Source organism: Homo sapiens, chromosome 6 (assembly GCF_000001405.40).
Source record: "Homo sapiens chromosome 6, GRCh38.p14 Primary Assembly".
Taxonomy (NCBI): Eukaryota; Metazoa; Chordata; class Mammalia; order Primates; family Hominidae; genus Homo; species Homo sapiens.
The window spans coordinates 157,288,316-157,315,187 of record NC_000006.12 but is presented as its reverse complement, the minus strand read 5'-3'; the positions used below and the strand labels follow the sequence as shown (position 1 = coordinate 157,315,187).

The 26,872-nt window shown below is 44.4% G+C and overlaps 1 protein-coding gene and 2 pseudogenes across 1 annotated transcript in view, besides 5 other annotated features; all 3 read left to right on the top strand.

The window, feature by feature from the left end:
- The window catches only part of TMEM242 (transmembrane protein 242), a 34,495-nt gene extending 8,332 nt beyond the window's left edge, over positions 1-26,163 (top strand). Inside the window, exon 4 of the mRNA NM_018452.6 lies at positions 22,189-26,163. Within this exon, the coding sequence (NP_060922.2) occupies positions 22,189-22,287 (99 nt within the window). The 3' untranslated portion in view covers positions 22,288-26,163. The remainder of the gene's footprint in view (positions 1-22,188) is intronic.
- Positions 575-1,566: an enhancer, noted in NCBI's record as "H3K27ac-H3K4me1 hESC enhancer chr6:157734654-157735645 (GRCh37/hg19 assembly coordinates)". NCBI's record gives its function as "activates a minimal SCP1, AML or CMV promoter by ChIP-STARR-seq in naive and primed H9 embryonic stem cells {active_cell/tissue: H9 hESC(naive and primed)}" and the evidence as "EXISTENCE:reporter gene assay evidence [ECO:0000049][PMID:30033119]".
- Positions 1,567-2,559: an enhancer, noted in NCBI's record as "OCT4-H3K27ac-H3K4me1 hESC enhancer chr6:157733661-157734653 (GRCh37/hg19 assembly coordinates)". NCBI's record gives its function as "activates a minimal SCP1, AML or CMV promoter by ChIP-STARR-seq in naive and primed H9 embryonic stem cells {active_cell/tissue: H9 hESC(naive and primed)}" and the evidence as "EXISTENCE:reporter gene assay evidence [ECO:0000049][PMID:30033119]".
- Positions 2,097-2,392: a silencer, noted in NCBI's record as "tiled region #9813; HepG2 Repressive non-DNase unmatched - State 25:Art, and K562 Repressive non-DNase unmatched - State 25:Art". NCBI's record gives its function as "represses a minimal TATA promoter and a strong SV40 promoter by Sharpr-MPRA in HepG2 and K562 cells {active_cell/tissue: HepG2 | K562}" and the evidence as "EXISTENCE:reporter gene assay evidence [ECO:0000049][PMID:27701403]".
- Positions 3,846-4,383: an enhancer, noted in NCBI's record as "OCT4-H3K27ac-H3K4me1 hESC enhancer chr6:157731837-157732374 (GRCh37/hg19 assembly coordinates)". NCBI's record gives its function as "activates a minimal SCP1, AML or CMV promoter by ChIP-STARR-seq in naive H9 embryonic stem cells {active_cell/tissue: H9 hESC(naive)}" and the evidence as "EXISTENCE:reporter gene assay evidence [ECO:0000049][PMID:30033119]".
- Positions 4,384-4,923: an enhancer, noted in NCBI's record as "OCT4-H3K27ac-H3K4me1 hESC enhancer chr6:157731297-157731836 (GRCh37/hg19 assembly coordinates)". NCBI's record gives its function as "activates a minimal SCP1, AML or CMV promoter by ChIP-STARR-seq in naive H9 embryonic stem cells {active_cell/tissue: H9 hESC(naive)}" and the evidence as "EXISTENCE:reporter gene assay evidence [ECO:0000049][PMID:30033119]".
- On the top strand, positions 14,964-16,561 carry LDHAL6FP (lactate dehydrogenase A like 6F, pseudogene; annotated as a pseudogene).
- LOC124901551 (uncharacterized) lies at positions 23,789-23,877 on the top strand (annotated as a pseudogene).
- Positions 26,164-26,872: the final 709 nt, after the last annotated feature.

Here is a 26,872-nt window from a genome sequence, read left to right as displayed (position 1 = left end):
AGTTTTGATAATTATGAGGTTACCCTGAGTCCAGTAAGAACTTCTGTCACTGTGTACTGTCTCATCTTTGTATGACTAAGAAAACAGTCTCAGTCAGAAAATGTTAAACAGAAATGGTCCAAGTCTATGCACTCAATAAATAACTGAGATGATCATTCTAGATAAAATCAACTCCAGCGTTAAATAATTGTAAGTAGCTAGCTCGAATTGAATTGAATCTCTGATAGAAACCCAGTTCCAATACAAAAGGGTGCCATCTAATGGTTAACCTAGAGCAGCTTGATGAAAGTGCTTGCGGTTCCTATTTTAATTCGCAGCTACATCTGCTGGCCTAAAAGGGAACATGTTTAAAATGCTTAAAGTGAAACTTCGGTTTCTTTAAAGTATTTTGGTTTTACTGTTTGTTTATTCATAATTATTCTGGAATTTCATTTCACATAGAATGCATATAATAACATTAAATATAAACACATGTGTATTTTACACACTGTTATATCATTTAACCAGAGGATCTAAAGAAGGAGAGGTAGCAGAAGATGTCTTGTTAGACCAAGGCAGGTAAGTTTGCCCAGCATTGACAATGGGGAGAAATCAGTGCCAGTTCAGTATCTACCCTGCTCCCCGGCCCACCCTGGCCAACAAGCACGGCTTGACTGTTCAGTTTGTGTTCATCGATTACTTTCAACTATGGTATTTTATTATTTGATTATAATTAAGATAGCACCAATTTTATCACAATAACTTAATTCTGGAAAAAAAGATGAACATTTACTTTGGGTTTGTAGTCTCCTAAATCAGCTGTGTACATGATCATGGGAATGCATGCTGGGACACTATGATGAGGCCAGGTGAGTGCACACTGGGACACTATGATGAGGCCAGGTGAGTGCACACTGCGACACTATGATGAGGCCAGGTGAGCGCACACTGGGACACTATGATGAGGCCAGGTGAGTGCACACTGGGGCACTATGATGAGGCCAGGTGAGCGCACACTGGGACACTATGATGAGGCCGGGTGAGCGCACACAGGGACACTATGATGAGGCCGGGTGAGCGCACACTGGGACACAATGATGAGGCCGGGTGAGCGCACACTGGGGCTCTATGATGAGGCCGGGTGAGCGCACACTGCGGCACTATGACGAGGCCGGGTGAGTGCACACTGAGACACTATGAGGCTAGGTGAGCGCACACTGGGGCACTATGATGAGGCCAGGTGAGCGGACACTGGGACACTGTGATGAGGCCAGGTGAGCGCACACTGGGACACTGTGATGAGGCCAGGTGAGCGCACACTGGGGCACTGTGATGAGGCTAGGGGAGTGCACACTGGGGCACTGTGATGAGGCTAGGTGAGCGCACACTGGGGCGCTCTGATGAGGCCACGTGAGCGCACACTGGGACACTATGATTAGGCCAGGTGAGCGCACAGTGGGTCACTGTGATGAGGCCGGGTGAGCACACACGGGGACACTATGATGAGGCCAGGTGAGCGCACATTGGGACACTATGATGGGGCTAGGTGAATGCACACTGGGACACTGTGATGTGGCTAGGTGAGAGCACACTGGGGCACTATGATGGGGTTAGGTGAGCGCACACTGGGACACTATGATGAGGCTAGGTGAGCGAACACTGGGGCACTATGATGACGCCAGATGACTGCACACTGGGGTACTATGATGAGTCTAGGTGAGTGCACACTGGGGCACTATGATGAGGCCAGGTGAGCGCAGACTGGGGCACTATGATGAGGCCAGGTGAGCGCACACTGGACACTGTAATAAGGCCCGGTGAGCGTACACTGAGGCACTATGATGAGGCCAGGTGAGCGCACACTGGGGCACTATGATGAGGCCAGGTGAGCGCACACTGGGACACTATGATGATGCCGGATGAGCGCACACTGGGACACTATGATGAGGCCAGGTGAGCACACTCTGCGACACTATGATGAGGCCAGGTGAGGGCACACTGAGGCACTATGATGAGGCCGGGTGAGCGCACAGTGGGACACTATGATGAGGCCAGGTGAGCGCACACTGGGACACTATGATGAGGCCGGGTGAGCACACACTGGGACACTTTGATGAGGCCAGGTGAGTGCATACTGGGACCCTATGATGAGGCCAGGTGAGTGCACACTGGGACACTATGATGAGGCTAGGTGAGCGGACACTGGGACACTATGATGAGGCTAGGTGAGCGCACACTGAGGCACTATGATGAGGCCGGGTGAGCGCACACTGGGGCACTATGATGATGCCGGGTGAGCGCACAGTGGGACACTATGATGAGGCTAGGTGAGTGCACACTGGGACACTATGATGAGGCCAGGTGAGTGCACACTGTGGCACTATGATGAGGCTAGTTGAGTTCACACTGGGGCATTATGATGAAGCTAGGTGAGCGCACACTGTGACAGTAAGATGAGGCCAGGTGAGCGCACACTGGGACAGTAAGATGAGGCCAGGTGAGCGCACACTGGGACACTATGATGAGGCTAGGTGAGTGCACCCTGGGGCACTATGATGAGGCCGGGTGAGTGCACACTGCGACACTATGGTGAGGCTAGGTGAGTGCACACTGCGGCACTATGATGAGGCCGGGTGAGCGTACACTGGGGCACTATGATGAGGCTAGCTGAGTGCACACTGGGGCGGTATGATGAGGCTCGGTGAGTGCACACTGGGACACTATGATGAGGCTAGGTGAGTGCACGCTGGGGCACTATGAGGCTCGGTGAGTGCACACTGTGACACTATGATGAGGCTAGGTGAGTGGATACTGCGGTACTATGATGAGGGCAGGTGAGTGCACACTGGGACATGATGAGGCTAGGTGATTGCACACTGGGGCACTATAATGAGGTCAGATCAACGCACACTGGGGCACTATGTTGAGGCTAGGTGAGTGCACACTGGGAAACTATGATAAGGCTAGATGAGTGTACACTGGGGCACTATGATGACGCTAGCTCAGTGCACACTGGGACACTATGATGAGGCCGGGTGAGTGCACACTGGGACACTATGATGAGGCCAGGTGAGCGCACACTGGGACACTATGATGAGGCTAGGTGAGGGGACACTAGGGCACTATGTTGAGGCTAGGTGAGCGCACACTGGGACACTATGATGAGGCCGGTTGAGTGCACACTGGGGCACTATGCTGAGGCTAGGTGAGTGCTCACTGGGGCACTATGATGAGGCCAGGTGATTGCACACTGGGACACTATGATGAGGCCGTATGCGTGCACACTGGAACACTATGATGAGGCTAGGTGAGCGCACACTGGAACACTATGATGAGGCTAGGTGAGCGCACACTGGGACACTATGATGAGGCTAGGTGAACACACACTGGGACACTATAATGAGGCTCGGTGTGTGCACACGGGGGCACTATGATGAGGCTAGGTGAGTGCACACTGGGAAACTATGATAAGGCTAGATGAGTGTACACTGGGGCACTATGATGACGCTAGCTCAGTGCACACTGGGACACTATGATGAGGCCGGGTGAGTGCACACTGGGACACTATGATGAGGCCAGGTGAGCGCACACTGGGACACTATGATGAGGCTAGGTGAGGGGACACTAGGGCACTATGTTGAGGCTAGGTGAGCGCACACTGGGACACTATGATGAGGCCGGTTGAGTGCACACTGGGGCACTATGCTGAGGCTAGGTGAGTGCTCACTGGGGCACTATGATGAGGCCAGGTGATTGCACACTGGGACACTATGATGAGGCCGTATGCGTGCACACTGGAACACTATGATGAGGCTAGGTGAGCGCACACTGGAACACTATGATGAGGCTAGGTGAGCGCACACTGGGACACTATGATGAGGCTAGGTGAACACACACTGGGACACTATAATGAGGCTCGGTGTGTGCACACGGGGGCACTATGATGAGGCTAGGTGAGCGCACACTGGGACACTATGATGAGGCTAGGTGAGCGCACAGTCGGACAGTATGATCAGGCTGGGTGAGCGCACATTCGGACACTATGATGGGGCTAGGTGAGTGCACACTGGGACACTATGATGGGGCTAGGTGAGTGCACACTGGGACACTATGATGTGGCTAGGTGTGAGCACACTGGGGCACTATGATGGGGTTAGGTGAGCGCACACTGGGACACTATGATGAGGCTAGGTGACTGCACACTGGGGAGGCTAGGTTAGCGCATACTGGGACACTATGATGAGGCCAGGTGAGTGCACACTGGGGCACTATGATGAGGCTAGGTGAGTGCACACTGGGGCACTATGATGAGGCTAGGTGAGTGCACACTGGGGCACTATGATGAGGCTAGGTGAGTGCACACTGGGACACTATGATGAGGCCGGGTGAGTGCACACTGGGACCCTATGATGAGGCCGGGTGAGTGCACACTGGGACCCTATGATGAGGCCGGGTGAGTGCACACTGGGACACTATGATGAGGCTAGCTGAGTGCACACTGGGGCACTATGATGAGGCTAGGTGAGCGCACACTGGGACACTATGATGAGGCCGGGTGAGCGAACACTGGGACACTATGATGAGGCTAGGTGAGGGCACACTGGGGCACTATGATGAGGCCGGGTGAGCGCACACTGGGGCACTATGATGAGGCTAGGTGAGCGCACACTGGGATACCATGATGAGGCCAGGTGAGTGTACACTGGGACACTATGATGAGGCTAGGTGAGCACACACTGGGGCACTGTGATGAGGCTAGGTGAGTGCACACTGGGACACTATGATGAGGCCAGGTGAGTGCCCACTGGGACACTATGATGAGGCCAGGTGAGTGCACACTGGGATGCTATGATTCAGTTGTTTTATCAAGACAGATAGTTTAAGTTTGGAGAACAGTTGAGGTAAATGCTTTAAGGAACTCTTGTACTAAGTGGCAATTCCCTAACTATCAAAGAAGAAAAAGAAGCCTTGCTGTTTACATGGTTATTTACATGTGACTCAAGAGCAGTGACTTTTACACTTGTTTACCTTTTATTATTTATAGTACGTGTTGATACTTGAAGGATTCTGAAGAGGTTTAGGTTATTTATAGCTAGACTACCTTGAGTTTTTTCCTCCCCTTAGAAGGAGAAACATTAAATATCTAAATAATTCCTAGTTGGTATGATTAGAACTTTATCAGGGGGGTATGCGCTATGTCTGTGGACCTGTGCTCTATGTTTGTGGGGAGGTGGTTATCTCAAAGGACTGGCAGAATGAACATTGCTAACCTTTACTGGGGCCTCTAGAGAATGCATTCATGATGCCTAGTATAGTAGGAATTTACAGATAATTTATAGCTGTTGTCCTCACAGGAGCTGAAACCTCAACTGTAATAAAAAACCATCAGTGAAAATGTCCTTAGTTATTGTGAAGTACTTTAAGTTGTCCAGTTATTTAAATTTTTAAATTAATGTATAAATGAAGGGAGTTTTTGATTTGTTTTTTTACCCCTTTGCCATGGGATAAGAAGTATTTGTTAGGTGGGCGGTGGCTCATGCCTGCAATCTCAGTACTTTGGGAGGCTGAGGCAGGAGGATTGCTTGAGTCTAGGAATTTGAGATTAGCCTAGGCAACATAGCGAGACCTTGTTTTTACAAAAAAATTTTAAAAATTAGCCAGGCATGGTGGCACGTGCCCGTAGTCCCAGCTACTCAGGAGGCTGAGGTGTGGGAGGAGCACTTGAACCTGACTGGCAGGTTGAGAGTGTGGCAAGCTAAGATCACACCACTGCACTCCAGCCTAGGTGACAGAGACCCTGTTTAAAAACAAACAAAAACAGTATTTATCTTCGTATATATATTGAGGACCTTTTTATTCAAAACAGAAAAAAAAAGACAACCTTTGGTATTTTTTATAAAAATATGTACTCGTTTAAAAAAAAAATCAATGTTGAAAAGTACAAAACAAAAATCACCAGAAATCCTACTAAGTTGTAATCATAATTACATTAGAAACATCCTTTTGGAGCATCTTGTGTAGGCATATTCATAGAGTTGTATAGAAATGCTGCTTTACTGCCTGCTACTCTGCAATCTTTTTTCACTAAACAGTCACAGGAGCATCTTTGCACAGCAGAGTATATCAATCTCCATCACTTTTAATCACTATAGGGAACCCTATTGTATATTATAATCTATTTAATCAGTCTCCTGCCAATGGCATTTAGATTGCAATTTTTCACTATTAAATACCATAGGGAACCTGTAGGCATACATCTCCTTGCACAAAAGATGTTATTGTTTGTTGAGTCAAAGTGCATTTTTAAAATGTTTTTGATATTTGTTGCTAACCAGCCCTCCAGAAAAGTTTATACAAAATGCATAAAAGTTTCTTGGGATCCTTGCCCTGAGTGGCTTCTATTACTCTGAAATTTTTGCCAATCTGATTGATAGAAAGTAATCCACCCCCACCCCCAACTCTCTTTCTTCCTGTATCTCTCCTGAGTCCCTGCTGCTAGAAAGGCTTTTATGGAAGTGATTTCTGATTGGCATCTTGCACAGCTTTCCAGGGCCCCGTCTTGCCTCCTCTTCTGCTGATAGACATTGCTGCTTTTTCAAGAGCCCAGACCTCCTTTTCTTTAAAAAACAAAAAGTAAAACATGTAAATAAAACAGATATATTTTAAATATGTCTCTATAAATGGACATTGTGCTTTCCTATTACAAGAGAATCTTTAAGGGAAGTAATATTGTATCTTTCCTCTAGGACAGTATTGGATGTACTCTGATAATATTTATTTTCTCCAGTTCTTTTTTGTAGCTGCTCCTAGGTATAATTTTTATGATAATATTTAGGCTCACTTCTTAGTAACCTTATGACCAACTGGAGGGCCTTAGCTAATAATTACAATCAAATTTCTTTTGGCTCCTTGCTAATTTAAGTTTCACTGGTAGTTTGGTGTTTCTCTTATCAGTACGTTTATTCCTGCATTATTTTTACCTATTCACCTCAAATGAAGCAGCGTTGTAGAGTGACTGCTAGAACCCCATATGTAAATAGTAAAACTGTGAAAAAGCTTAGAAATGTTTAACTTTGATGATCTCTAAGGAGGGAAATAGACTTTAAGGGCTATGTACTTTCATTGGCTTAGATCAAACATTAAAAACAAAACTGAGTCTCCTGGCCAATTGTTTAATGGCAGCCACTTCTGAGGGATCTGCAGGGGAAGTGTGAGAAGCGGCTGAAACATTTCCCTCTGCCTCCTTGCCTAATCTAATTTCAGTGCTTCCAGAGATCTCTACCAGCTTCTGCCCCCAGGAAGCAAGCCTCAATTTCTTATTTTGATTACCATACGTCAGCATATTCGGCCTCGTTTCCACTTCTTCATAGTGCTCACTAGAACCTCAGAACAGTCATCACGATCCTGCAGAGGTAGTTCCATGTGTCACACTCTTGGGCCTTCAAACAGCTTGAGGACTGGGGAATATTTTCCTGGAATCATTTTTAAATGAATTGGAAGTAGCACTGCACATCAGTGAATAGGTTCAAGTCAGAGGTGACAAGAACATCTCTATAACTCTTCTTCCCCATTCCACTGCAGCTCTAATAGGTTTAACATCGTAGTGGACAGAGGCACTTGATGCATATGTGGACAAGCAGTTTGGTGACAGAGAACCCGAATCACAGGGACTTGCTCAGTTTAAGATGGGAGATAATGACCAATGTACTTTTTTAAAAAGTCAAGCAGGGGAATCCGCTGTTTTGGCATATTTCCAAAATAGCTCTTTCAAACCCACCTGTTTCCTTGTATAAGTAAAATAGCACCCCAAGCATTTTATCAAGTGGGAACGTGCGACAAGGACTGGGACAAATCAGCTCTGCCATAAAAGCTTTTTTGTTCTGAGGCTTGACACAGATCAGACTTCATCACCTCGATAATATTCCCAGCCGTATCCCACAGGAGGAAGGCAGCCTAGATTTCACTTGGGTTTTCTTTTTCTTTGTCCTTAATTCTTAGACTGAGCCTAGAAAATTGGGCACACATGAGCAGATCTCTCTAAATAAAGCATTGTGGACTGGAGACCTGATATCATTTGCTTCCCCCTCAAGCTCCGTTTTAAAAGTTACTTATGATTGATTAGTCACTTACAAATATCTAAAACTGTGGGACAGTATTACACTAATATATAGTTGATATGTACAGTTTGTAAGTATTCACTTACCGGTATATCAGAAAATGATGTTCTCTCAAATGGATTTTTCTACCTGAAATGTTTCTAACAATTTTAAGAAATCATTTTCTAATGTGCTATATATTTTTCCACTATGTAAATTGTGCTGAACATAACTTATCATGTAACTTTTTCTTGGTGACTCAGATCTATCATTTATTGTTTGCTTCTTATACTGACAGATTCTAGGCTTTTATAGTTCTTCCTTTATTCTTTTTATGAGTTTTCTCGATTCCAGTTTGGCTGTTGTAACTTCCGACTGTCCCACTTACTTGTGAAATAGTGCTGCTTTATTTTACCCAGTTATGCTTAAGGTGCTTTTTTTCCTCCCCTCATCTCTTCTCCTTCACAGGTTCCAGCCACTCTGATGCCTTCATTTACACCCTGAGCTCTAGGCTCATGGGCCCAGTTGACTGGACACAGGTGCTTGGGTGTCCTGCAGGCATCCCGTGTGTCCCTCAGTGAACTGTCATTTGTCCCCAACTACAACCTACTCCTGAGTCATTCTCCCCGTGAATAGCAGCATCACCCACAAAGCTGCCCAGACAGAAAAGCCAGGTGGCCATTCCTGACCACACTGTGTCTCACCCCTGCATCTAATCAGTCACCACATCTTGCTTTTCCCTGACCCCCACAGCCACTATAGTTGATGGCACCTTCTTGCTCCAAGATGATTCGGACAGCTGTCTCTGTTCTCCCTGCCTCCCGCCTTGCCTCTCTGCAGCCCTTTCTCTGCCCTTCTGCCAGAGCACTCTGGCCTTCACCTTCTCTGGACTTAACACGCACACTGCCTTTCTTCCTGTTACCAGAGATAAAAGGTCCATGCTGCTGCCAGAGGCCCACCCTGCCTTTTGGGCATTAGATCCTGCCCCTCGTCATCTACAAGGGACCTTGCTCCCATCGTTATCCTCAGCCTTAGCTGATTGTGACATGTTCCTTCTCTGCTGTGGTGTGTACAGACATGCTCTAGTTTCTCCCACCTCTAGAGGTTCTCTCTAGATATTCCTTAGCCTCCTCCAGCTACCAGCCCATTTATCTGCTCCCCTTTACACAAAAAGCTTCCCGAAAGAGTTGTCTGTGGTCACTGCCTCCACTTCCTCCCCTTCCTGCTCTCAGTCCAGCTCCTTGCCCCAGCGCTGCACTGGAACTGCTATTAAGGTTGCCAGTGCCCTCCTTGTTGCCAGATCTTACTTTATCCTCTGTTACTTGCCCTCCCAGCAACATTTGGGCACAATGGAGCCCCCCCTCCATCCTGAAACACTGTGGCTTCTGAGCTACCTTCCACCTCACTGGACATTTTGCCTGTCTCTTGTGCCAACCCCTCCCCTGGCCAGCCTCTTAACATCAGTGTCCAGTAGCTCCTACTTAAACTCTTCTGTCCTCCATCTATCCTCCGCCCCTTGGCTCTTTCGTCCAGTCCCTGCCACTTTAAAACAAACAGTACTATCTGATGCCGTCCAGATACATAGCCCCAGCCCTGACCTTCAGATCGGCGTCTCTGCTTCATATTGTGTGCCCTCACAATATGACACGCCCTCATAGGCGTGTCACATGACCCATGTCCCAACTAGAGCACTTGATTTCCTCACTTTATTCCCAACTTGCTCCTCCCTTGGTCTTCCCCATTCCGTAAATGCCACCGTCATCTCATCCTTCCACTTCAAACCAAAAACCCCAGTGAGAATCCTCTTAGATTCTCTCATTTCCCTTGGTTCCCTTCATCTGATGCATGCAAGTCCTGCTTGTCAGCTCTGCCGCTGAACACCGCCTGCCTCCTTCATCTCTCCACATCCATTCCTCTGTTGCCTAGTGTTTTAAGAGTTTCCTGTCCAGTTTCCCGGCCTCTTCCTTATTCCTTCTAGAATTTTTTCTCCACACAGCAGCCAGAGATATTTTAAAAATGTGAGTCAGATCATGCTACTTCCTTATTTAAAACCCTTCAGTGGCTTCCTGTTGAAGAAGGTTTACATGATGTAGCCCCACCAACCTCACTGACCTCATCTTGAGCCACCACAATTGCCCACCTCACCTCTTCCCACTGCACTCCAGCCCTGCCAGCATTCTTATTCCTTCAACACACAGGGCTGTTCCTGCCTAGGGCCTTTACTCTAGCTTTGCCCAGGAAACTCCTTCCCCAGGTCCTTGCATCGCTGGCTGTTTGCTGCTATCCAGGGTTTCAACTCAAACTTAATTTACCTCCTCAGAGCAGCTTCTCCAGATGTCTTCATTCCCACCACCCAGTTACTCTCTGAAATTATCCTATTTTCTTTTCTTTGTAACGCCTATTGCAAAACGAGATGATATTGACCATTGTCTTGTTTTATCAGTCTTCACAAAAAGAATGTAGATTCTGAGGGTAGAGACCTCCTTTATCTTGGTCATTGTTATATCCTCGCACCTGTAACACTGCCTAATGCATTGTAGGTGTTTAGTAAGTATTTATTGAATGCAATCTGATCACATCACTTCTACCATTTCATTTCAGTGGCACTCTCTCTCTCTCTCTTTTTTTTTTTTTTTTTTTTTTTTTTTTTGACAGAGTCTCACTCTGTCACCCAGGCTGGAGTTCAGTGGCACAATCTTGGCTCACTGAAACCTCTGCCTCTTGGGTTCAAGCAATTTTCCTGCCTCAGCCTCCCAAGTAGCTGGACTACAGGCATGCACCACCATGCCCGACTGATTTTTGTATTTTTTGTAGAGACGGGCTTTCACCATGTTGACCAGGCTGGTGTGGAATGCCTGACCTCAAGTGATCCACCTGCCTCGGCCTCCTGAAGTGCTTGGATCACAGGTGCGAGTCACTGCGCCCAGGCTAATGAATTTTAATTTCTTTGCTTTCCATGTTTTATGCCACATTATAAGTTTTCCTTTTTAATGATTAACACAAGTGGCTCTTTTATATTGCATCAGAAATTATGTATAAGATGCTGCTTTCAAAGAACAAAAATGTGATTGGGGTTATTTATTAGAAGAGCTTGCCAATTCATTTCATATTTAAATACCGTAAACAGGAAGTTGATCCCAGCATTGCTCTTTGAATTGACTTTTTGCCTTTATTCTATTCTTTGTGGCCCTCTATTTGTCTTTCCTCCAGTTTTCCCAGTGTTGCTGACAAAGTAAAATATTTTCATGTGCTGGGATTTGCAGAGACCCCCCCCTCCCCCCGCCACCATGAGAATTACTGAGCAATAGAATTAGAGCCCACTAATTTATTTTAAAACTACAATTTGCATTCTATGATTTTTCAAATCACAAAGAAGACTTTCAAAATAATTGTGTTCATGCTGGTGAGTTTATGGCCTATTTCAGATCAGCTTGTAATAATTAACACTGCTTTCATTTTATCCCTTTCCCCTAAACCAAGGGTTCTGTGTGCTGATTATTTTTTTAAAGCTTTCCAAAGAACAGAACATTTTAAATAACTTTAAAGGATAAAAATAGTTTCTCTGCCACTGCATATTTGTTTTACTGCATTTCTAACACTGTAATAGATTTTTGTTTTTGTTTTGTTTTTTAATGTTTTAACTTGGTAAAAGTGGGTATTGGCTTTGAAAATAGCCACAAAATCTTTTAGCTTATCCAAAGCTTTACTTGAAATATATGCATCAACTTTCTAAAGATGCCCCAGTGGGTGCCACCTACCCATTTTACTTACCCTCATTTTCAGAACTCTCTCTAGATGGGGTCTGTGGCCCCGCCTTTCTGTCTCTCTCACCTTTTAGCCCACTCCCCAGCCTTACTCACTCAGCTCTACAGTTCCTCATTCTTTTCTACTACATTTACCAAATCCCTATTCGTGGGCCCAGCTCTGTTCTAGAGGACAGGGATATGCTGGTAAATAAAAGGTGATCCTTCTTGCAGTGGCACATTCGTAAGTATTTTACATTTAACTGTGTGTGATAAATCCTCTAATGGAGAGAGGTACAAAGTACAGTGGTGACATAGGCTTTTAGAAAGCCAGTTCTGCTTAGGGGATTGGCAAAGATTGGTGAGAGAATGGAATATCAGAACTGGACTCCCGGAGAGGAAAAGGAGGATTTGAGAGCTGGGTGTGAGTCCAGGTGAAAGGAATAGTGACTTAGTGGCAGCCATTCTTGGCCCAGGGACTTGCTGGTTGTTTTCATTTCCTGCTTCCTCCCTCCTAAGTGGTACAACCGAAAGTACTGAGGTGTAATCCTGCCATTAGCTATAATACTGTACTGCGTTTTGAATAGATAATTTGAGTCAGGTTTTCAATTCAGAAGGAATAATGAGCCACCTAGGATAGGAAGTCACTAGGGAGCTGTCTAGCTATACTTGGCTTTCCACATCTTTGAGTAGACCTAAATATGCTCTGGAGGTCACATACATCTCTTCGTCTTTGTTAGTGCTTTCCTTTTTTATCTCAAGACTTATTGTAAATAAAAAAGCTGCTTTGTTTGGTATGTTTTTATTTTGAACAGTTTTTTTTCCCCCTCAAGATTGATTTAGTTGTGGCTAAGGGGAAAAACTGAAGAGGCAGCTATTAGAGAGATTGTATTTCTGAAGAGGTTCAAACGATAGAAAGAAAATGACTATAGAAAGTAGCCATCCCGCGAAGAGTCTTTATGTCCTTGAATTTCATGTTCAACAACACTTATCTTGGAAAATGACTTGACTGGTGAAAGGAATCATTATAGGTGGATGGTGGGAACAGTCACCAGGTTAAAACATTTCAAGTTATGACTGAGATAAAAGAAATGACAGCTATCAAAAATTGTTGCTTTTAAAGGATTCCTCTAAAACATTGGCCACCATTAAATAAAGATGACCCTTTTAAAACTGCAGTTTTTAATTTGACAAATGTTAACCAAAAATCTGACCACCAGTGCTAAGAGGATTCATGTACCTAGTCCCCTTACCATTTGGTTTGTGGCTCTGTCATCTGAACGGGGTATCTGATCCTTACTGATAGGGAAAACATGGCCAGGAGGTCACCCTGAAACAGGATGTCAGGAACTCAGCTGATGGCACACCTTTCCCACCCTCACCAACTCCTTTGCTTATTGTTCCTCTCCTCCTGGACTGCCTTTTTTCTTCTTTTGTTGAGACGGAGTCTTGCTCTATCGCCCAGGCTGGAGTGCAGTGTCATGAACTTGGCTCACTGCAACCTCCGCCTCCAGGGTTCAAGCAATTCTCATGCCTCTGCCTCCTGAGTAGCTGGGACCATAGGCACACACCACCACACCCGGCTAATTTTTGTATTTTTAGTAGAAATGGGGTTTCACTGTGTTGGCCAGGCTGGTCTCGAACTTCTGACCTCAAGTGATCCACAAACTCAGCCTCCAAAGTGCTGGGATTACAGGTGTGAGCCACTGCGTCCAGCCCTGGACTGCCTTTCAATGGCACAAATAAGAATAGCTTTTCGGCCAGGCGCGTTGGCTTATGCCTGTAATCCCAACACTTTGGGAGGCCGAGACAGGCAGATCACCTGAGATCAGGAGTTAGAGACCAGCCTGACCAATATGGTGAAACCCTGTCTCTACTAAAAATACAAAAATTAGCCAGGTGTGGTGGCAGGTGCCTGTAATCCCAGCTACTCGGGAGGCTGAGACAGGAGAATGGCTTGAACCTGGGAGGCAGAGGTTGCAGTGAGCTGAGACCATGCCATTGCACCTGGGCAACAGAGCAAGACTCTGTCTCAAAAAAAAAAAAGTAATAGCTTTTCAAGTCCAAATATAAAGTATTCATTTTGTCAGCATTCAATATTCTAAAGCGGAAATCTTTTTTTTGCTGATCATGAGGAGCTACATGTACCAAGGGGCCCCATTCCAGAAGAGCACACTGCTTTTAAATAAAACAAGAGGGAGAGCTTTTGAGGAACCATTACACGGGCAGAATGCTGTTTATAAGTGAGGAGAAAGTGCCATCATTTTTTTTGGAGCTTTTGTAGTTTACTGGGCTTATTAGGGTATGCATTTCATCAGATGTGAAGTTGACACCTCCTCAGAAACTGTAAGGGAATTTAGTTCTTAAGATTGCCCAGAGAAATGCTGAAGAAATAAGGCATACTGATGCCACGTTGTACTAGATCATTTATTTCACTACTTTGGTCAATAATCTGATTTATGCATTGGTTGAAACTTGCCATTTTAAGGACTTTTAAGAGATATCCTCATTTTAATTGAGGACTGCATTGCCAGCTTTCTACCTGAGAAGTCGTTTTTCTTCGGGACGCACAATCAAAGGCTTTCCTCTAGCATGAGAAAGGAATAGCATTCTCGCCTGGTGAATTTTTAGTGATGGGATGACTCCCAGCGGGCCCCTACCCTGCTCAAGCTCCTGCTGACTGTCCCAGTGTGGGTCCTGGCCAGAACTGGCACCAAGGCAGTGGGATCCTTTATAAATAGGCCTCCGGCGCCATACACCAGATAGCAGGAGCCCACTTCTGGGACACTGGGAGATGGTGCAGGCAACCACCCGTATGCAAAGCACAGCGCCCTATCCTTCCCGGCAGGGTCACCGTTCAGAAGATGTAACCTGATTTTCATCCGTAGTTAATAGAAGCATTTTTCCTTGGCATTCATACTAAAAATAGAAAACTAGTAATTCCGGGGATCTGGGTTAACCTCTTAAGCATGTCAACTATCGATGAGAATACTCTTTGTAAAACTAACTCCAGAAATCACTTGCTCGAGAAGCAGCCCTTCACTGCCTTAGTCTCAGCACCAACGGAAAGTACATGTTGAAGGCGCTGGCAAGGCCCGCGCAGCCGCAGTAGAGGGCCAGGGGGCGTGTCTTGCGCACTCGCCACAGAGGGCTGAAGGTGCTGCTAATGGCTCTCTTGGCGTTGCGACGTCCTGGTCAGCAGTTTTCTTCCATTCTCTCCCTCCATTTCTTGAGTGAGCAGCCATGAGTTGGACTGTGTCTGTTGTGCAGGCCAGCCGGAGAGTGAGCTCGGCAGGAGCGAATTTCCTGTCCCTGTGTCCCAGTCAGGCAGCGCGCATGCCGCTCAAGGGCGCCTGGCTCTTCACCCCCGTGAAGAGTGAGCTTGTTGAGCGCTTCACTTCCGAGGAGCCCGCTCATCACAGTAAGGTCTCCATCATAGGAACTGGATCGGTGGGCATGGCCTGCGCTACCAGCATCTTATTAAAAGGCTTGAGTGATGAACTTGCCCTTGTGGATCTTGATGAAGGCAAACTGAAGGGTGAGACAATGGATCTTCAACATGGCAGCCCTTTCATGAAAACGCCAAATATTGTTTGTAGCAAAGATTACCTTGTCACAGCAAACTCCAGCCTAGTGATTATCACAGAAGGTGCACGTCAAGAAAAGGGAGAAACGCGCCTTAATTTAGTCCAGCGAAATGTGGCCATCTTCAAGTTAATGATTTCCGGTATTGTCCAGTACAGCCCCCTCTGCAAGCTGATTATTGTTTCCAATCCAGTGGATAACTTAACTTATGTAGCCTGGAAGTTGAGTGCATTTTCCAAAAACCGTGTTATTGGAAGCGGCTGTAATCTGGATACTGCTCGTTTTTGTTTCTTGTTTGGACAAAAGCTTGGTATCCACTCTGAAAACTGCCACGGATGGATCCTAGGAGAGCATGGAGACTCAAGTGTTCCTGTATGGAGTGGAGTGAACATAGCTGGTGTCGCTTTGAAGAATCTGAACTCTGATACAGGAACTGATAAAGATCCTGAACAATGGAAAAATGTCCACAAGTGATTGCTAGTGCCTATGAGATTATTAAAATGAAAGGTTATACTTCATGGGCCATTGGCCTATCTGTAGCTGATTTAACAGAAAGTATTTTGAAGAATCTTAGGAGAACACATCCAGTTTCCACCATCATTAGGGGTCTCTGTGGAATAGATGAAGAAGTATTCCTCAATATTCCTTGTGTCCTGGGAAAGCTGACCCCTGAAGAGGAGGCCCCCCTGAAAGAGAGTGCAAAAACACTTTGAGAAATTCAGAAGGAACTGAAGCTTTAAAGTTGTCTAAAACTACCATTCTGAAATTATTGAAGAGATCATAGATATAGGGTTATATATCAAAATTTTGAATAAACTTAAATTCCTAAAATATGGAAACAGGAAAGTGGATAAAATGACTTACCTATTTATTTAGTCCTCCAGCTCTTTTATTTAGCATCCAGGTGCTGGGTGATACTTATTTACAATTCCTAAAGAAAGTGTTTTTGGTACCCCTGATGTAGCAGCACTTGCCTTGTTATATATGTAGTTGGCATTTGGTTCCCAAAAAGTAGGATGTAAGTATTTATTGTGTTCTAGATATTCTGATTATTTTCATTAGATACATGCTTTCTTCTTGCTGGCTTATACCTATGTTCATTTATATGCTGTAAAAAAGTGGTAACTTCCTCTACAATGTAAAAATAAAAGTATATACGTACAGGTATTTTTTATAATGGACCCATCTTGAAACCGCCTTCATTTCCTCTGGGACGGCCTTTCAGCTGGGTCGTTAAAAAGACATGAAGTGGGGACTGCAGCTGCATGTTGGGCATGTGTGTACATGCACACACTTGTGTATGTGCGCACACCAGTGAAGCAGGATCATTTGGTTAAGATATGAAAATAGTGATCTGATGGTAGCTGTTATAAAATGTTTAACGCAGTAATTCAGAAAGCTTTTAGAAAGAGGCTTGACAGTCAGAGGTGGTATAGTTACTGTTGTTTGTTTGGCCGGGAAAGGAAACTTCCCTAAATTTTGCAGTTACTAAAAATAAAGCCTGACTGAGTAAAAATCATTTTAGAATCGCTCCTGAGAACCTGACCTGTTAGCGCATTAAATCAAGAAGCATGTTAGAAATTGTTCTTACTGAGCAGGATCTTAGCTTCAGAGTGGCCCTGGCTCTAAGAGCCTCCTGGGTTATTCCGCTCTTCAGTTTATTTCATGTTTACAGAAAGTTTTTGCTTTTGAATTTGTGCCTGATTGTTAATTACTGTCATAAAAATTGGCCATTTTGATGCATACTTCAGGGATTGTATTTCTCAGAAAGTTACATGTGTGCTTTGTATTTCTAAATCAATTGACTTTACTACAGATTTTGGACTTTATGCATGTGATACAGTGAAAGTTGGGGAGAAAGTAAAAATGTTTGTCTGACATTTATCTAAATAATAGGATTAGTAGCTTAGAAAATGGAAAGCTGAGATGTAAAAATTCACATTCGCTTTCCTAATGCAGTTGAATATTTAATAATACGGTATGTTCAAATACATTTCATCTCAGGATCCATGTGGATAGCAACAAAACTAGTCAAAAGTGAAAATATCAGTATCTGCCCTCTAAACCAGGCCAGTCCTGCTTAGTTGAATTTTATCAAGCATGATGGTGATCCTCCAAAACACTGACCCTTTTCTACCCTGACCAGAACTCCCATACTGCTTTATTGAAAACATCTAGAAATGTTGATTTCTCAGGAAGCAGTGTCATATAATGGGACTCACTGATGTGCTGGGCTCCTTGAAAGTGGGAAGAGAAGAGTGGTGGTTTCAGTTCTAGGCGGTTTTAGGAGCTTTTGAGAGCTCAGCTGCGGAATTTGAGAGCTTGTAATTCCAACAACTGCCTATTTATTGGAATTGATGCTTAAGGACTTTCTGAAATTAATTAAATTGGGGACATAACCTGAGGCTTTTAAGTAACTTTTCAGCATACTGTATATTAGACCAAATGTTTTCAAGTGTTTTTCCCCTACCAAGACATGCATGGTAAATGTGCAGCAGTGTCCCCTGTGCATATTCAAGCAGGATACACAGTAAGCACATAGGCTGTGCAGTCAGATTTGCTCTTACCAGCCATGGCACTGAGCACATTGTTTCGTTTCTCTGAGCTTCCATCACCATAGCTTTAAAGGAGGGATGATATTTGCCCCACTTGGTTGTTGGGAGGGTTAAATGAGAAATATGGCTGGCATACAGTAAGGACTCTCTAAGTGGCATCAGTGGTTGGCCTCACTCCTGGCCTACTGGCTATATGGCCTATTGAAATGTGAACGAGAATAACATTATTAGAGGCATAATCCTGAATCTGTTTTAATGTCTAAAAAGGCCATTGTATCTACAGAACATCCATATTTGTGACAAATTACTTGTAATACATTTTCCATTTGTCTTGACATTCCATTTGAGCACTACTACCTCAGATGGTGGTACTTTCTGTGACTATGACAATGCAGCACTGTTGGACACAAAGCATTGGGACTTAGAAATGAGGATGGTGGGCCCACGGCACTGGGGAGTAATACTCATGTCTTAGATGAGGATGGTGGGCCCACGGCACTGGGGAGTACCATTCATGTCTTGGTTTTGTTTAGTTTTGGTTTCTTTTGAGATGGAGTCTCACTCTGTGGCCCAGGCTGGAGTGCAGTGGCATGCTTTTGGCTCATTGCAACCTCCACTTTCTGGGTTCAAGCAATTCTCCTTCCCCAGCTTCCTGAGTAGCTGGGGCTACAGGCGTGCGCCACCATGCCTGGCTAATTTTTGTATTTTTAGTAGAGACGGGATTTTACCACGTTGGCCAGGTCTCGAATTCCTGGCCTCAAGTGATCCAACTGTCTAGGCCTCCCAAAGTGTTGAGATTACAGGCGTGAGCCACCACACTCCACTCATGTCTTAGTTTTTATGGAAAGCACCCCCTGGAGGTGTGCAGGGCACAGCAGCACTGCTTGGAAGGGTAACCCTGTTATCCATAGTATAGGAAAATTTTCCCTGGTCAGAGGAAAGAAGAGAGAACTACAGTTTGGAAAATGCTTGGGAGTGAAACGGAGTTGCTGGATGGGTACTCTAGTTCCCAGCATACCCCCCACCAGACTTTTGGGGTACAGGGCAGTCAGTTCTATGGCAGTAGCTGTGATTATCAAGGAATTCAGTACATTTACTTTATAACCAAATTTGCTTAAATGCACTCAACCCCTAAATCTTTTCAAGCACATCTTTAAACAGGGAAATGTTCTGTTGGCTTCATGTATAGAGAATCATTGGTCAAACCAATACCTTTTCTGAACTGCATATCAGAAATTGATATAGGTGGAAACGATGTGAAGGTTTTCATTTACTGTCCATGTAATATGAACAGTATGAGCTGAAAAGCCTTCTGTGGAGCCCATTCTCTAAAGCCACTTGAGGCCCTGTTTATATCTTAAATGTCTGCGTTTCGATTTCCACAGCTGTAAACTTAGAGAACAGGGATAGATGGTACCCTTTACCCATCTCCGTTCCTTTCCCTCATCTCAGGCCTGTCTATTCCTAGTTAGTTACTTTTCAGATAGAGTGCTTCTATTGATTCAGTTACCATGACCCTGGGCACAAGTAAATAATTTAATATTTGAGAAATTAGAGGAAAGAAAACAATCAGGCCAAGAGGAGGAAATGGAAACGTAACCCTGCCGAAGGAGAGCAGGACCGCCCCTTGCTCTCCTCCCCTGGCCTCACCTGCATTTCCCAGCCTCTCCCTTCTCAGCAGCTGACCACATTCCAGACCACTGGAAGGGAGACTGGTGAATGATTCTGTTCATGTCTTGGCTATCTGACATCCCATTTGAAAATTGTCATCTGGCTTCGTTGTAAAAGATGTTCAACCAGAAGAGTGAAGAGAAAGAACCAGGCAGCACATTGCCAACCCTGGCCAGAGAGATGTCTGTTTTTCAACTACAAAAGTCTATGCAAAGTTCCTCAGTGGGGGTGATATTAATGTTTTGGACAAAGCAATTAATTCTTTATGGAAGAGGGAGTGGGGAGGGAGACATCCATGAGCTGTGTGTCTTCAAGATTAGTGTCTGGGTCCAGAACACTGAGATGGCTGGCACAGATACAGACAATATGTAATATGGAAGGAAGACCTTACGTATCTTCCAGTGACAGAATATGTAAACTAAAAAGATATATAGCTATAAAGTAATGTACTTAACAGACATTCCATAATATTTATATCCATGTGAGCTTTGTTCTTGGAATATAGCACACATATGTCGATAATACAGCAATGATAATAGCTAATGTATATTGAGCACTTTCCATGTGTTAGATGCTGTGCTTTATATGCATCATCTCACTTAGTCCTTAATCCTCACAACTCTTTAAGCAGGTAATTACTGTCTCCATTCTACATATGTGGAAAGTATGGCTTAATAGAGTAAGCAGCTTTCCCAAATGGTGGAGCTAGGATCTGAACAGAGTCCATGCTGCTGACAGCAGTGCTACAGTTTGCAGCAGTGCTAGGAGTAAATGCCTAGGATTTACAAGTCCCAAACCCCTAAATCTGGAAACAAGGTAAAGATTCAGCCTCAAATTGAAATAAATAAGCATCGACATTAAAGAAATATTAGCTGATTCTCAAAATAACCACTCTAAGAAATGACTTGCGGCCGGGCGCGGTGGTTCACGCCTGTAATCCCAGCACTTTGGGAGGCCGAGGCGGGCGGATCACGAGGTCAGGAGATCGAGACCATCCCGGCTAAAACGGTGAAACCCCGTCTCTACTAAAAATACAAAAAATTAGCCGGGCGTAGTGGCGGGCGCCTGTAGTCCCAGCTACTTGGGAGGCTGAGGCAGGAGAATGGCGTGAACCCGGGAGGCGGAGCTTGCAGTGAGCCGAGATCCCGCCACTGCACTCCAGCCTGGGCGACAGAGCCAGACTCCGTCTCAAAAAAAAAAAAAAAAAAAAAGAAATGACTTGCATGTTGCATATGAGTCCAGCATACTTCACAAACCTGATCAAGGCTATCTCTATCCTTAGGAAAATATGACTGGCAGATGGCTGATGAGAAAAAATTGGAAGGCAGTACTGTGGTGCTGCTGAAATGTCTTCGTAGGAGGACCGTATAGATTAACCAGGATGAATCAGGGAGTGTGTTACTAGTACTGTCCAATGTAAAGATCACCTAACTTCTGTAAGTTAGTGTTCCCACCTTATGGGGTTGTACGCCTTAGGTGGACCCAGGTGCTCCAGGTAAACTGTAATACTGTGTGACACTGCATGTTAAGATCTCTTAGGCTGGGCGCGGTGGTGCACGCCTGTGATCTCAGCACTTTGGGAGACCGAGGTGGGAGGATTGCTTGAGTTCAGGAGTTTGAGACCAGCCTGGGCAACATAGCAAGACCCCATCTCTACCCAAAATGCAAAAGTTAGCACATGCCTGTAGTTCCAGCTACTTGGGGGTGCTGAGGTGGGATGATCACTTGAGCCCGGGAGGTTGAGGCTGCAGTTAGCCATGATTGTGCCACTGCACTCCAGCCTAGGCAACTGCCTCAAAAAAAGAAAAAAAAATCTCTTGTTCCCTTGCTGTGACTCTGATTCCAAATCAACTGCTTGTAAAACTCCTACCTAGATTTAAAAAAACAAAAACAAAAAAAAAACCACTGTCTTGCACATAAGAACATTCCAGTTTATCTACCATTCCTTGATTTATTCTTGACGAAACTCCTAAGTTTCTTCTGTCTGCCATTTCTGTGTCTAAAATTCTAGCTTTGAATGACCTAATTATATTTATTTATTCAGAAAGAAATCCCATCCTCAATGGCATCTTTATATATGAAAGCCAACAATACACACTCTTCTTCTGGGAGGGAATAATTATTATGGAGAGTTGACGGTTTAGGACATGTTGCCTTGCAGATTAAGAGTGGTTTGTTTGTTTGTTTGTTTGTTTGTTTGTTTTTAAAGAGATAGAGTCTTGCTGTGTTGCCCAGGCTGGACTCAAACTCCTGGGCTCAAGCAATCTACCCACCTCAGCCTCCCGAGTAGCTAGGACTACAGGTGTGAGCCACCATGTCCAGCTAAGAGTGAAGTTTTATGTTATTTATTAATAAATTTATACTCAGAAGAAGAAAGGAAGTATATTTCATTTTCTTTCAAGATACCTAGGATATATATAGTCCCTATCTTTTATTGATGTTCCTTAGCTCTGTATCTGTGAGCAGTGAAGTACTAGCCAGTCAGCAAAGGTGCCATCTCTAATAGCTGTTTTTCTCCTTCTTTTAACATTTGATAACTGATTATTTTTCTTCTTTTAGATGAACGACTTTCGAAGTAAAATGCAATCAATATTTCCAACAATTCCCAAGAACTCCGAATCGGCTGTTGAGTGGGAGGAAACATTGAAATCCAAATGAGATGAGCATGGATGAATTTCAAAATGCTTGTTACAGAAAGGGGTGGCTCTGGAGACACCATGACAGCAAAAGGACTGGGACTGATTTCTCCCAGGAACATGGGCAGATTGCTGACTGAACCAGTGCACTGGATAGCATTCAGCCTCATCACAGGAGAGTATGTGTGTGCGTGCTGGGGGAGGGTAAAGTTTTCCCACAGTTAAGAAGACTATTTAAAAATAGTAATTACAGGAATAACTTCCTTATGTGGAGGGGACCCCATAGGAAATGATTCTGTTTGTAACAGTTGAAGCAAATTTCATACTAAAAAAGTTTATAATAAAAGTATGATAAGAAAATATTTATAAAACAGACCCCCTAATAGCAATAGTACTGCAATGTGTCTAATTAAAGGAGTTTCAAGAGCCTTTCTTGTCAATATATGACAGAACTTGGAAGTCTTATTCTGATTAGCCAGACTACAAAGTGACAGTCACCTGGTAAGTCCTGTATGGTAGGAAGTGGGTGTGGCTCTCGGGTCCTAAATGTGGTCTGTGCTTTACAGCCATCACACACATGCTAGTTATTTACCTGATGCCCTTGCTTGAAGGCCCTATAAATTCTTATACTTAAAACAAAAAGCCAGTAATGAGTTGTGATCACCCCAAAAGGCACAGTTGGGCTAAAATAATGATGATATCAGGGGTAAACATATTTTTTTGAGAAGTTGGTCTGGATCTCTGAACACTGACAATTTGTCATTTTGTCTCAGTTGTCAAAGTAAAAAAAGCCCAGTTGTCATCCGTCTTCAATATTTTTAACCAGAAAGTCACCTGAGTACGGAGTCCCAATATAAAGTATTTGGGACCACCTCCCTAACAAAGCTGTTAGGGTAAATTCTGTGTGCACGCCCAACTCCCTCCTGTCTTCCACAGTCTCCTACAAAAAAAACAGATGGAGAATAATGTCTACATGCAATTGTTTTTACTGCAATTGTATTTTAAAATATTTTCAAGAAGAGAAATACTTTAATATGTCAATATGTCCAGAGAAAAAACCTGTAGTTAAATATCAGTTGTGCAATTTCTTCCTACTTGCCTAGGCTCTAATTAGTCAGCAATCAGGTTTAATAAAGGACATTTGAAATTTCTGTTATCATGAAACCTTTTATTCTAAGGGAGATTTTTAAATGAAATGACAAGAACTTAATGTAATACTTTTCTCTAGACCATGTTACCCTGTTAAAATTGCTGTATTGTTAATGAAACAGGTGTAATCAGCATCTGGAATTCATATGTAATCTGTTAAAAATCCAAGACTGAAAGGAAAGGATTGTGAAATTGGTCAGTGAATGCGGGTAGCAAAAACTCTTCACTGCCTTTCATTTGTAACTAAATCTCCTCTGAGAAGAGATCTGTAGGCTTTGAATGAAAGGAAGGAAAGGCAGGAGCCAAAGGAACAGGTTTTCGTCCATACAATTAGTCTGAATCTAGGTTCCTCTGAATAGAATGGGCACCGCCTGATCCTTTTGTGCTTCATAAATGTGGGTTTCCAACGTGCATGAGATGGCCCTCAAACCTTGTTACAACGATGCACTTTACTCGTTTGATGTGGGGGGAAAAAGAATGGGCACTACCTAAAACTGTTTACAGCTAGAATCTGGGTTTTATTTTTCATAGATGGAGAATGCCTAGTGGTTTCTAAAGGCCTCCACTGGGTGGAGAAAGGAGACTTGCCCACCTGTCTGGAGTGTTAAAAGGAGAAATCATTGTTAACTGATTCTGTTAATGGATTCCTGCCTTGTAACCTCCCGAAGGGCAGGGACCCCTCTCAGGGCCTTGTAAACTGGTGTCAGCACCGCTGCAGAGGCTGCTGCACATCAGGCTGATGGCAGCTAGGCCCTAGGAAGGAGCCAGGGGCCATGGTGGGGGCTCTGCTTTCCCACAGGGCTGGCACAGAGGAGGCCTAGACATATGTTGCTGAAAGAGTGTCCTAATACTAGAGTGGCATGCCTCGTGTCTACAAAACCCTTATATGTCACCTCTGCTGTCCTTGACCGATGGCAGGGGAACTCCCATTAGAATGATGATGAATCCCCTGCAGAGGGGAGGCTGGCAGGGACAAATTCCCTAAAAGAGGGACCAAGCGTCAGCTCCAATTGCATCTTAAAAGCAAAGGTGAAGTAATGCACAGATGGAAATTTAAAAAGAAAACAAGCAGTATGACTCAAGTGGTGTTTTTCACAGTCAGAACTTGAATATCAGTAGATTTCGTCATTTGTCTATTCCTTTTGTACCAGAGGCATATTGTTAAATTGGTTAATGGAAAGGAAAAATGTTGAACAGATAATGTTATTCTTTATGAGACGTACCATCTGTGTATTGAGCTCTGAATGTCCCTGGATATGGAAGAGAGGAAATGTGATGGAATTTCAAGTTTGCCTTCTTTGCTGTCTTTATCTTGGGTTGAGTATGACAAACATAATCACATTTATCTCCTGGAGCATAAAGAGTTTTAATCACCCTATTAACCAGGATGACATTTTTCACAGACTTAAAAAGGAATAGAACAGACATTATCTCCCTATAAGCAATCCATTTCATGGAGGCTGAGCACTAGAAATGCTTTAAAGGATGGATAACGCAGGCCATTTCCATTTCCTGTCTAAGCCAACATTAAGGAGGCTTTCGGTAAGGCTGTTGCTTCCACTGGGTGAGTGTTAAGCTTTACACTTAGAGTCTCAGCGCCCAAAAGAGCTATTAGAGAAAGCACGGGCAGGGAGGAGTGGCTTCCGAGACCCCAGGATTCATTCAAGGGAAAACATGTATCCTGGTAAGTTGCTGCTGCCCTGTGAAAAGGAGTCCATAGGCTGCTGTTATATTCAGAGTCAAGAAAGTGTGGGTTCAGGACAACCTGAGAGTGGAAAGTGGGGGACGGGAGCTGCCTCCGAAGACGCCCGGCAGCCCATCACCAGGAGGACCATGGCCCAAGGGCATGGAAGCATGTGGCTGCTGAGAGGGTCGTGGGCCATCTCCACCACCACCCTCGCGTCAGGGCATGGGCCCAGGCTGGCGTTAAGGGCACTTTGCCTGCTTAGTCAAAAGGTGGCATCGAATCACCTGGGCTGTCACATGTTTTGTTTAGTTTCATGGATAGTATGGGACCAAACTTGCAAATTAATCATTGCAATCTAAGGGGAAAATAGAAGAAATTAAGGTGGGGGTGGGGGGACGGGGAGCCCATGGGGATAAAAGTAATTAAAATCCATTGAATTTAGCTATTTCACTTGGGGCAACATTTAATCTCCAAGATTAAATCTTGGTTTATGGGGAAGGTTATATATTTTCATCTCATTTTTATGTATCATCTTTAAGACAAATTGTTAAGTACAAATGAAAATCAGGTAACATACAAAGGCATTTCATCAAATAGTTAAATTTCCTATGAAAGTTAGTAAAATACATATTTTTATAATACCATGTTCAAGTGAAGTGTTTTTGCTTTCTGCCAAGAGTCATTAAATGATATAGCAAGTATTTGGGTCTCTCTTGGTGTTATCAGGATTAATTGCCCAAGGCTGCGATTTTGTGAGCATAGAAGAGGAAAGCAAGCATCTCTCACAAGCAGTGACATGAATCTGTAATAATGAGTGAGGCTGTTAGCAAATTTTGTGTGATGGCAGATAACTCAGTTTTGGAGAAAATTAGAATCACAGCTACCAAGAAGCACATATCGTTTCAACTTTCCCACCCAAGTATTAGTGAAGTGATTTAGGACCTTGATTTATATTTCTTAGAGAAGCTGGCTCGAGGCCTTTGTTTCATTACTGTTTGATGAGGCATGATCCCTTACTTTAAAAAAAAAAAAAGGTGAATGTATTAAATGTACTTAAAGACATAAGGATAAAGCTCATTCTTAATGGACTCTCCTAAGAAGCTAAGTCAGGCAAACTGAGAAAGCTTGGCATGTTCATAACACCTATTACCTGCTCATCTGAAAACACTCAAAAACCGTACCCTCATGCTGCCTCTGACACCCCAGGCTCAGAGTGGCCTTCCAGGTTTGCAGCCTAATAGGTGACCCTCCACAGGACACCTCCAGGCGATGTCCACATTGCCGGCCCTGGGCGAGTCTCCGGCGCTCCCGCGTGCATGCCCTGCCTTCAGAGGACAAGTTGGCAAAACTGAGTTTCTAAAAGAAAGCTTGATTTTGGTGGTCTGTACAGAGCTGTGCCAAACTGCAGTTTGCTCCTTTGCTCTGCCAAGCTGGGTGGTGGGAATGTGTTTATTTTATTGCTGCTGGCTGTCTTCTCCGACTGACCCTGTTGTAGGGGCTGAATCCCCCACCATGTTTCCTACTCTGGAGCAGAGGCTACGTGGCAGACCTCTCCATCCAGAGCCTTTGGGGAGTGTTACCAGGGGGTAGACCGTCCCTGCAGCCACTGTCTCCCTGTGTCCTTCCATCTCCCATCAGGCCATGGCGGCCACAGCTACTCAGATCCTTCTTGCAGTCAGGACAGAGGTTCTGCAGCTAAGACAACTCTAGTGAGTAAATCTCATAAAAACTAAAATAAGACCCCTTGTCAGAAGATAAGGATTGAGAAAAC